Genomic DNA, 11,711 nt, shown 5'->3' on the forward strand with positions numbered 1-11,711 from the left:
CCCAAAATGTTCTCATTATCATCAACATAAACTCCGTTTTGTTTTTAGAGACAGTGTCTTACTCTGTCACCCAGGCTGGAATGCAGTGGCACAGTCATAGCTTACTGCAGCCTCGAACTCCTGGCTTCGAGCCATCCTTCTGCCTCAGCCTCCCACACCCCATGCTGGGATTACAGGCATGAGCCACCATGTCCAGCCTTCACAAACATAAACTCTGTACCTGTTAAATAATAACTTCCCATTCTTTCCTCGCCACAACCACTAGTAACCACAATTCTGCTTTCTGTCTGTGAATTTGCCTTTTCTGGGTACCTTATATAAGTGGAATCATAAAATATTTGTTTTTGTGTGTCCGTCTTAATGCACTTAGCGTGTTTTAAGGTCCATGTAGTAGCATGTAGCAAAATTTATTTTTAGGGCTGAATAATATTCCATAGTGTGCATATACTACATTTTATTTGATGATCAGTTAGGTTGTTTCTACCTTTTGGCTATTGTGAATTATGCTGCTATGAACATTGGTGTACAACTATCTGTTTCAACTCCTATTTTTGGTTCTTTTGGATATATACATAAGAGTGAGATTACCGAGTCATATGGTAGTTCTAGGTTTAACTTTTTTTTTTTTAAAGACACAAGAGTCTGGCCGGGTGCAGTGGCTCACGTCTGTAATCCCAGCACTTTGGGAGGCCAAAGCGGGCAGGTCACAAGCTCAGGAGTTCGAGACCATCCTGGCTAACACAGTGAAATCCCGTCTCTACTAAAAATACAAAAAATTAGCTGGGCGTGGTGGTGGGCGCCTGTGGTCCCAGCTACTTTGGAGGCTGAGGCAGGAGAATGGCGTGAATCCGGGAGGTGGAGCTTGCAGTGAGCCGAGATCTTGCCACTACTCCAGCCTGGGCGACAGAGCGAGACTCCGTCTCAAAAATATAAAAGAAAGTGCTGGGCGCGGTGGCACACGCCTGTAATCCCAGCACTTTGGGAGGCTGAGGAGGGTGAATCACGAGGTCAGGAGTTCGAGACCAGCCTGGCCAACATGGTGAAACCCGGTGGGTACTAAAAATACAAAAAATTAGCTGGTAATGGTGCCGGGCACCTATAATCCCAGCTATTTGGGAGGCTGAGGCAGGAGAATCACTTGAACCTGGGAGGGAAGAGGTTGTAGTGAGCCAAAATCACACCACTACACTCCAGCCTGGGCAACAGTGCAAGACTGTCTCAAAACAAAAAAGTAATCCACTATTGCATGCCAATTTGGCACAAGATGTCAGATACAAAGCAAAACAGATGGGGTATTTCTGATGGGCATTTCAACCTTAAAAGTGAGAAACTAACTTCACTATTCCAGTAAAGACCTAGGGAAAACCTCCTTCCTAATCTGCTTGTTTCTCCAGTTATTTATTTCAGTTATTAAAACAATTTAGTTTTTTTACTTTTTATCTTGAGCTCTACTCTAGTATACCAAATTTAGTTTTAGAATATTTATTAAACAGTTCAGCTGGGGATGGTGGCTCATACCCATAATCCCAGCATTTTGGGAGGCTGAAGCAGGAAGGTCGCTTGAGGTCAGGAGTTGGAGACTAGCCTGGGCTAGTGAGACGCTAGCCACAAAATGTAAATTTAGCCAGAGATAGGGTGCACACCTGTAGTACCGGCTGCTTGGGAGGCTGAGGCGGGAGGATCCCTTGAGTCTAGGTGGTCAAGCCTGTAGTGACCTATGATTATGCCACTGCACTTCAGCCTGGGCAACAGAACAAGACTCTTTTGTTTGTTTGTTTGTTTGTTTGTTTGTTTGAGATGGAGTGCTAGGATTACAGGCATGAGCCACTGCACCTGGCCAGCACTTTCTTTAAATAGAGACAGAGTTTTGCCACATTGTCAAGGCTGATCTTGAACTCCTGGACTCAATCCTCCCACCTCGGCCTCCCAAAGTGCTGGGATTACAGGCGTGAGCCACTGTGCCTGGCCGAAATAGTGGATTTCTGAATCAGGGTTTGGAAGACATGGGTACAGCTGCACCTGCTATTGAAAGTGCATCTGTTTTTCACATAGGAAATGTCTGCAAATTATGAAAGCATGGTCATAGCTCCACCCTGTGGCATGTTACTTATAGTTAAAATTAATTGTCCAAATTCTATTCAGGCTGGGCCCAGTGGCTCATGCCTGTAATGCCAGCACTTTGGGAGGCTGAGGCGGGTGGATCACTTGGGGTCGAGACTTGAGGTTTCACCTTGTTGGTCAGGCTGATCTCGAACTCCCAACCTCAGGTGATCTGCCCGCCTCCGCCTCCCAAAGTGCTGGGATTACAGGCATGAACCACCGCATCTGGCCTCAAATAATAATAATAATAAATTCTATTCAGTCTGTTAGATCATGGATGAGACCTTGTCTCTACTAAAATTCAAAAAATTTAGCTGGGCATGGTGGCATATGTTTGTAGCCCCAGCTACTCAAGGGGGCTGAGGCAGGAGGATTCCTTGATCCTGGGAAATGGAGGGAGCAGTAAGCTGAGATCGCACCACTGCACTCCGGCCTGGGCAACAGAGCAAGACCCTGTCTCAAAAACAAGAAAATTGAGGGCCGGGTGCAGTGGCTCATGCCTGTAATCCCAGCACTTTGGGAGGCCGAGGCGGGTGGATCACAAGGTCAGGAGATTGAGATCATCCTGGCTAACATAGTGAAACCCCATCTCTACTAAAAATACAAAAAATTAGCCGGGCGTGGTGGCGGGCGCCTGTAGTCCCAGCTACTTGGGAGGCTGAGGCAGGAGAATGGCGTGAACCTGGGAGGCGGAGCTTGCAGTGAGCTGAGATCGCGCCACTGCACTCCAGCTTGGGTGACAGAGCGAGAGACTCTGTCTCAAAAACAGAAACAAAACAAGAAAATTGACAATGGCTAACATCTTTAGCTAATAAGACAAATAATTATTGGATATTTTCCCTCCTTTTCCCTATGTTTGACATATTCTAGTCCTTTTCAGTGCATAAAGCTAGGAAATATGTAGTATATAATCCATGCACATAAACTTCTGTTTATTTCTGTATCTGTCCTTGTGTTATAAAACAAAAACTAAGTCCCTCCAACTTCAATCTGGCACCACAGGATTCATTCTAGCTGTCTCTCTTAGTTGTAACAGCAAGAAACCTGGCTTCTCATTATAATAATTTGCTCATTTGTTCAATCCTGGTTACATATATTTTGGACTTAGTAAATCATAGCTCTGAGAAATGGATTTGCCAGCTAGAACAGTGTTTGTACACAGTTGTTTTCAGTCTTCAGTATCTATTCAAAACATGTTCCAAAGCTATTTAATTATACTCCTTTCTCCCCCACTCTCTTCAGTGTGGTTATGCAATTCATTTGCAATGTGATTGTATTCATTTCCCCAGACTTCATTCCATCTTTCTCTCCACATCTTGGTGGATTTTTAAATTACATTCAGTAAAATTCACTATGGGGTACAGTTCAGTTAATTTTGATAAATGCTTAGAGATGGCTACCCACCACCACAGTTTCACACAGATAATCTTAAACTACAATCACATCACTCCCAAAATGTCTTCATGCTGCCTTTTTCTTTTCTTTTCTTTTCTTTCTGAGACAGGGTCTTGCTCTGTTGCCCAAGCTGGCATGCAGTGGTGTGATCAGGGCTCACTGCAGCCTTGACATCCCAGATTTGAGCAATCCTCCTGCCTCAGCCCTTTGAGTAGCTGGGACTACAAGCATGTGCCACCATGCCCAGCTAATTTTTTTTTTTTAATTTTAGTAGAGACCAGGTCTCACTATATTGCCCAGACTGGTCTCGAACTCCTGAGCTCAAGCAATCCTCCTACCTTGGGCTCCCAAAGGGCTGGTATTACTGGTGTGAGCCACTGTTCCCGGCCCATGCTGCCTTTTTATAGCCAACCCCTCTCCCTACTCCTTCCAACCCGTGGCAACTACTGGTGTGTTTTTTGTCTGTAGTTTTATCTTTTCAGTAGATAAATGGAATCTTACGACATGTAGTATTTGGATCTAGTTTCTGTCATTTAGCAAAGTGCATTTAATTCATTCATGATGGTATGTGAATCAATCATTTATTCCTTTTTATTCCATTGTGCAGATGTACTCTTGTTTATTCATCTCTTCACCAGTTGAAGGACATTGGAGTTATTTCCAATTTTTCATGATTATTCATAAAGTTGCTATAAACCTTTACTTACTGGTTTTTGTGTGAACATGTTTTCATTTATCTTGGATAAAATAAATAGGATCACTAGGTTGTAAGGCAAGTATATGTTTAATTTTATAAGAAAATGCCAAATTGTTTCCCAAATTGTATCATTTTACGCTCTCACCAGCAACCTATGAGGGTTCTGGCTGCTGTGTATCCTTGGCACTTGGTAGTGCCATTTTTTTTTTTATGTTAGCAATTCCGATAGGTGCTAGTGGTTTTAATTTTCCTTTCTCTAATGACTAATGATGTCCATCCTTTCATCTGTTTGCCATCTGTGTGTCTTTTTTAGTGATGTGTCTGTTCAAATCTTTCATGCTTTTGTTTTTGTTTTGTTTTGTTTTGAGACAGGGTCTGGCTCTATCACCCATGCTGGAGCATTGGTGCAGTGGTATAATCTTGGCTCCCGCCTGCAACTTCCACCTCCTGGGCTCAAGCAATCCTTCCCGCTCAGCCTCCTGAGTAGCTGGGACTACAGACACATGCCACCAAGCTTGGCTAATTTTTGTACTTTTTTGTAGAGACAGGTTTTCACCATGTTGCCTAGGCTGGTCTTGAACTCCTAAACTCAAGCCATCTGCCCGCCTCGGCCTCCCAAAATGCTGGGATCACAGGCCGGGCATGGTGGCTCACGCCTTTAATCCTAGCACTTTGGGAGGTCGAGATGGGCGGATCACTTGAGGTCAGGAGTTTGAAACCAGCCTGGCCAACATGGTGAAACACTGTCTCTACTAAAAATACAAAAAAAATTAGCCAGGCGTGGTGGTGGGCACCTGTAATCCTAGCTACTTGGGAGGCTGAGGCAGGAGAATTGCTTGAACCCGGGAGGCGGAGGTTGCAGTGAGCCGAGATGGCACCACCGCACTCCAGCCTGGGTGATAGAGTGAAACCCCGTCTCAAAAAAAAAAAAAAAAAGTGCTGGGATTACAGGCATGAGCCACCACACCCAGCCACATTTTTAAATTGTTTTTCTTACTGTTTAGTTCTGAGAGTTCTTTATATATTGTGATATAAGTCCATTGTAAGACATGTGACCCGCAATTATTTTTTGTACATTTGTCAAAAGTCTGTTTCTTGAATCTCTATTCTGTCCCATTGATGTATGTGTCTACCTTTCATCAGGGTCACACCATTGCTTTATAGTAAGTTTTGAAATGAGTATGAGTCTTCCAATTTTGTTTATTTTTTCAACATCATTTTGGCTATTCTAGTTTCTTTGCCTGTCCCTATAAATTTTATAATTAGATTGTTGTTATCTACGAAAAATCCTGCTGGGGTTTTTATTGGGATTGAGTTTTATCTGTGTTTTGCAATTTTAGCATATAGTCCTGCATATAATTTGTTATATTTAAACCTCAATATTTCATTTTAGGAAATGCTTTGTAAATAGTATTGGGTTTTTTGGTGGTTTTTTGTTGTTGTTGTTGTTTTTGTGGGGGTTTTTTTGTTTTTATTTTTTTAGACCTAGTCTCGCTCTTCGCTCAGACTGGGGTGTGCAGTGGTGTGATCTTGGCTCACTGCAACCTCCACCTCCTGTGTTCAAGCGATTCTCCTGCCTCAGCCTCATGAATAGCTGAGATTACAGGCACCTGCCACTGCACCTGGGTAATTTTTGTATTTTTAGTAAAGATGGGGGTTCACCATGTTGGCCAGGCTGGTCTCAAACTCCTGACCTCAGGTGATCCACCCGCCTCGGCCTCCCAAAGTGCTGGGATTATAGGCATGAACCACTGTGCCCAGCCTGGTATCGGTTTTTAAATTTCAAATTTCATTGTTCATTACTAGTAAATAGAAATACAGGCTGGGTGCAGTGGCTCACGCCTGTAATCCTAGCACTTTAGGAGGCTGAGATGGGTGGATCACTTGAGGCCAGGAGTTAGAAAGGCACCCAGCCTGGCCAACATGGTGAAACCCCGTCTTTACTAAAAAATACAAAAATTAGCCAGGCATGGTGGCACATGCCTGTAGTCCCAGCTACTCTGAAGGCTGAGGCACAGGAATTGCTTGAACCCTGGAGGTGTAGATTGCAGTGAGCCGAGATCATGCCCCTGCACTCCAGCCTGGACAACAGAGCAAGACCCTGTCTCAAAAAAAAAAAAAAAAAAAAAGGCCAGGTGCAGTGATTCACACCTGTAATCCCAGCACTTTGGGAGGCAGAGGAAGGTGGATCACCTGAGGTCAGGAGTTCGAGACCAGCCTGGCCAACATGGCGAAACCCCATCTCTACTAAAAATACAAAAATTAGCTGGGCGTGGTGGCACGCACCTGTAATCCCAGCTACTTGGGAGGCTGAGGCAGGAGAATGGCTTGAAGCAGGAGAATGGCTTGAACCTGGGAGGTAGAGGTTGCAGTGAGCCAAGATTGTGCCACTGCACTCCATCTTGGGTGACAGAGCAAGATTCCATCTCTAAAAAAAAAAAAAAAAAAAAAAAGTATTCCCTGATCTGTTAATTACTTTAATTACTGGGAGAGGCATGTAACGTTTCTTACTCTGTTGGTGAATTTGTCCATTTTCCCTTGTGTTCTGTTAATTTTTTTATTTTTTGATACAGGGTCTTGCTCTGTTGCCCAGGCTGGAGTGCAGTGGCATGATCTCGGCTCACTGCAGCCTTGATCTCCTGGGCTCAAGTGATCCTCCTACCTCAGCCTCCCAAGTAACTGGGACCACATGTATGCACCACCATGCCCAGCTAATTTTTGTATTTTTCTTAGAGACAGGGGTTCACCACGTTGGCCAGGCTGGTCTCAAAATCCTGAGTTTAAGCAATCCACCTGCCTCGGCCTCTCAAAGTGCTGGGATTATAGGCATCAGCCATTGCGCTCAGCCAATTTTTATTTTATTTGTTTTGAGACTGTATTATTAGACAGATAATACTCCAACATGTGAGCTAGAACATTAACAAGCAATTTATACCTAGGTATTTGTGAACTATACCTAGGTATTTGTGAATTATACCTAGGTATTTGTGAACTACTTACCATCCCAGGTTTCTGCCTCCTCGATTTGAAGTAATAATATCCTGTCTTACTCTTTCTTTTCCTTTTTTTTTTTTTCAGACAAAGTCTCACTCTGTTGCCCAGGCTGGAGTGCAGTGGCACAATCTCAGCTCACTGCAACCTCCGCCTCCCGGGTTCATGTGATTCTCCTGCCTCAGCCTCCTGAGTAGCTGGGATTACCGCCACCACACCGGGCTAATTTTTATATTTTTAGTAAAGATGGGGTTTCACCATGTTGGCCAGGCTGGTCTCAAACTCCTGATCTCAGGTGATCTGCCCACATCAGCTTCCCAAAGTGCTGGGATTACAGGTGTGAGCCACTGTGCCCGGCCAAGTTTTTTGCTTTTTTTTTTTAAACTACATATTTCCCCATTTATTGGCTTATGAGTTATATACTGTCTTCAATTTATATTACTTAAGTGGTTTCCTTTAAAACTTTAATACAGATACTTAAGATCTCACATTTATCCCTACTCTCCATCTGATAATACAAGGAGCTTAGAATGCTTTAACTTCCTGCAGCCAATTAAGCCGACTGAGTTCCTTTCCTCATGGGGGCCCAGTGTGCAATGGCTGTAAATAGCAGCTTCCTTGGTAGTGTATGCAGCCTGTTTGTTGTATGGGTTGCTCTAAGGGACCTTGGAGACAGTCCTTTCAGATGGATGTTCATGTTTCTGACCTTACACTACCCCAATGTAGGCTCCAAACTGGCATGCGAGGTGCCTTTGGAAAGCCCCAGGGCACTGTGGCCAGGGTTCACATTGGCCAAGTTATGTCCATCCACACCAAGCTGCAGAACAAGGAGCATGTGATTGAGGCCCTGCGCAGGGCCAAGTTCAAGTTTTCTGGCCGCCAGAAGATCCACATCTCAAAGAAATGGGGCTTCACCAAGTTCAATGCCAATTAATTTGAAGACATGGTGGCTGAGAAGCGGCTCATCCCAGATGGGTCAAGTACATTCCCAATCATGGCCCTCTGGACAAGTGGCGGGTCCTGCACTCATGAGGGCTTCCACTGTGCTGCCCCCTCTTAATACTCACCAATAAATTCTACTTTCTGTCCACCTAAAAAAAAAAATGCTTTAACTTCAGTTACCCCTCTCTCTTATGTACTTTTAGTCTGTTATTTTAGTTTTATCCTGATTCCCTCACATAAACATTATTAGTATATTATTAGTGTTGTTTTATACAGTTGTTTAAATTTATCTACTTTTTTTGCTCACTGTTCCTTTTTGCATCTCATTCTTTCCTTCAGTGATTCCTTTCCTTCTTGAAATAATTCCTGGCCTGGCACAGTGGCTCACGCCTGTAATCCCAGCACTTTGGGAGGCCGAGGCAGGCGGATCACCTGAGGTCAGGAATTCGAGACCAGCCTGGCCAACATGGTGAAACCCCGTCTCTACTTAAAATACAAAAATTAGCCAGGCATGGTGGCAGGCGCCTGTAATCCCAGCTACTCAGGAGGCTGGGGCAGGAGAATTGCTTGAACCCGGGAGGCGGGGGTTGCAGTGAGCTGAGATCGCACCATTGCACTCCAGCCTGGGGGACAAGAGCGAGACTTCATCTCAAAAAAAAAAAAAAAAAGAATTCCTTTAGAATTTCTTCGTTAGGAGTCTATGGATGGTAAATACTCTCAATTTTTATCTAAAAATCTGTTTTCCCTTACTTTTTAACAGTAGTTCATTTTTAATTTTATTTATTTTTATAAAGACAGGGTCTCCCTGTGTTGCCCAGGCTGGTCTGGAACTCCTTGGCTAAAGAGATCTTCCTGCCTCAGCCTCCTAAAGTGCTGGGATTATAGGCTTGAGCCACTGCACATGACCAAATAATAGTTTAGTTGGGTATACAATTCCAATTTGACAGTTGGCTTTTTTTTCTCAGTATTTTGAAGATAATGTCTCCAGCTTGTATGTTGCTAATGAGAGGTCTGCCCTTGGTCCAATTTCTTATTTTGAGACGGAGTTTTGCTCTTGTTGCCGAAGCTGGAGTGCAATGGCGTGATCTCGGCTCACCACAACCTCCGCCTCCCAGGTTCAAGTGATTCTCCTGCCTCAGCTTCCGGAGTACCTGGGATTAAAGGCATGCGCCACCATGCCTGGCTAATTTTGTATTTTCAGTAGAGACAGGGTTTCTCCATGTTGGTCAGGCTGGTCTCGAACTCCCAACCTCAGGTGATCCGCCCGCCTTGGCCTCCCAAAGTGCTGGGATTATAGGTGTGAGCCAACATACCTGGCACCTTGGTCCAATTTCTAATTGCCATTCTTTTGTAGATAATCTGTCTCTTTTCTTCCACTGCTGTAAGATCTTTATGTCTTGGTTTTCTTCAATTTAACTAAAACATGTCTATAGGTAGCTTTATTTTTATTTTTGCTAATAATTTATTGTAACTTTTTACTGTTTTTTTTTTTTTTTTTTGAGACAGGGTCTCACTCTGTCATGCAGGCTGGAGTGCAGTGGCGCAATGTTGGCTCACTCCAACCTCTGCCTCCTAGGCTCAAGCAATTCTCCTGCCTCAGCCTCCCGAGTAGCTGAGATTACAGGTGTGTGCCACTACTGCCCGGCTAATTTTTTGTATTTTTAGTAGAGATGGTGTTTCATAATGTTGGCCAGGCTGATCTTGAACTCCTGAGTTCAAATGATTCACCAGCCTCAGCCTCCCAAAGTGCTGGGATTACAGGCATAAGCCACTGCACTCGGCCCTGTAACTTTTAAATCTATAGAATCAGGAATGGAAAATTTGTGGCCATTATTTTGAAATGTCCAACATATGTTGCATTCTAAGCATTCACAAATAAATAATAAATAATGAAAATGAACTGGGGGAGAGGTGGGCTGTGCCCACAGTGTCCCCTTTCTACAATCCTGAATTCTCTGAATTCCTGAATCTCTCCACTGTAAGTTATTACAGGCCATCTACAGGCCAGTTCTGAGGCAAACTAGACAGTGTGGGAGCCATGCAGGGAGGCGGAAGTGGAAATGAGGTTCCTGGTATTCCCAGGAAGAAGTAAGGCTATAAGGGGAAATAATATAATTCCTAAAATCTTTTTTTTTTTTTTTTTTGAGACAGGGTCTTTCTCTGTTGCCCCAGCTGGAGTGCAGTGGTATGATCATGGTTCACTGCAGCCTTGACCTCCTGGGCCCAAGCAATACCCCTACCTCATCCTCTGAGTAGCCAGGACCACAGGTGTGCATCACCACACCCAGCTAATTTTTTAAAATGTTTTTGTAGAGAGGGGGTCTCCCTCTGTTGCGTAGCCTCATCTTGAACTCCTGGGCTCAAGCGATCCTCCTGCCTCAGCTTCCCAAAGTGTTGGGATTACAGGCGTGAGCCACCACACCCAGCCTAAAATCTTTTACCCTTTAGCTAAGGATGACATCCTCTTCCTCTGTCAATATTTAACTAGAAGGATCAGGCTAGGCATCTCTTCGTTGTGCTCCCCAGCATCCTTTTCTTCCCGTATCAAGCGCAGCACGTGGAAGTGTCGTGACCTGTTTTCTTGTGCGTCTGCTAAAATGTGAGTTAGGCTATGAACACCATAGGAAGAGGAATTGTGCCGGACTTATTCAAACTGTACCCCAGGCACTTAGCTTAACAACTGGTGTCTAGCAGATACTCAGCAAAAGTGCATTGCATCGAAGACTGAATAATTTCAAGATAGGAGTATTCAACGTCTAATATGTACCAAGCGCTGTTCTCAATGCTACAGAAAAGCAGGTTTCTAAGGTTTCTGGAGTTAAACAAAAAACCCTGACATTGAACTTACATGGAATATTAAAGTCATTATCTACCATAAGCATTATTTCATGAAATAAAATAATTTCAACTCTACAAAACTAGGAAGCACAGAACGGAATACTATTTCCCTTAATGAAAAACTCCCTACATTGTTCTTTTTAAAAATCTCATTTCCTAGCTGAACGGTAAAAACATCATCATTGATTAGCTCCTATTCATAGAAGGCCCATTGCAACCCACTGGTACAGAAGAGAAACAAAGTATTCAGCGGAGAATACCCTAGCTCAATAAGCGGTACAATACAGTAAGGGAAATAGAAGTGACATGCGATGGACAGCCAGGCCTTAAATTGCGCGGTGCTGATTCCTGTCCCTTAACCCAACAATAGAAAGATAGGCGTGCCTGGAGTTGCTGGGGGACGAGGCTCGATCCAGTGTGAATTCCGTGAAGTTGTGCAGGGTTTCACTGTTTGCTGAGTGTGTTAGACAGGTTACCTGGTAGAGTTCTCACATTACTTCGTGAGATACACAGATATTATGACTCTATTATACTGGTGCAGAAAAAGGCTCGGGAAGATTCATGTTTCTTGTGCGACTTGCCCAAGGTGACACACAGTTCTAACAACTGGCCTATCGCAGGGTGTGAGATCTGGAACTCAGACCTTCCCAGCCAGGGCTCAGTCCACGCCACTGCCTAGATGAGGCAGCAGGAAGGGTCAGCAGAGAAGGGTGCCCCACCGGGACGACTGGAACACCTCAGTAGGATA

General features: G+C 44.1%; 1 non-coding gene and 1 pseudogene across 1 annotated transcript, besides 2 other annotated features; both read left to right on the top strand.

Annotated features, from left to right (window-relative positions):
* Positions 59-236: a silencer, noted in NCBI's record as "fragment chr1:201939921-201940098 (GRCh37/hg19 assembly coordinates)". NCBI's record gives its function as "represses an EF-1alpha promoter that drives an FKBP-Casp9 reporter gene in an ReSE screen in HepG2 liver carcinoma cells {active_cell/tissue: HepG2}" and the evidence as "EXISTENCE:reporter gene assay evidence [ECO:0000049][PMID:32094911]".
* SNORA70H (small nucleolar RNA, H/ACA box 70H) lies at positions 7,727-7,861 on the top strand. Its single transcript, NR_145769.1, has one exon. It is a non-coding gene; the product is annotated as a small nucleolar RNA, H/ACA box 70H (small nucleolar RNA).
* On the top strand, positions 7,917-8,277 carry RPL10P4 (ribosomal protein L10 pseudogene 4; annotated as a pseudogene).
* Positions 11,550-11,609: an enhancer, noted in NCBI's record as "active region_2326". NCBI's record gives its function as "activates an Ori minimal core promoter by ATAC-STARR-seq in GM12878 lymphoblastoid cells {active_cell/tissue: GM12878}" and the evidence as "EXISTENCE:reporter gene assay evidence [ECO:0000049][PMID:35858748]".

The sequence above is a fragment of the Homo sapiens genome, chromosome 1 (assembly GCF_000001405.40).
Source record: "Homo sapiens chromosome 1, GRCh38.p14 Primary Assembly".
Lineage (NCBI taxonomy): Eukaryota > Metazoa > Chordata > Mammalia > Primates > Hominidae > Homo > Homo sapiens.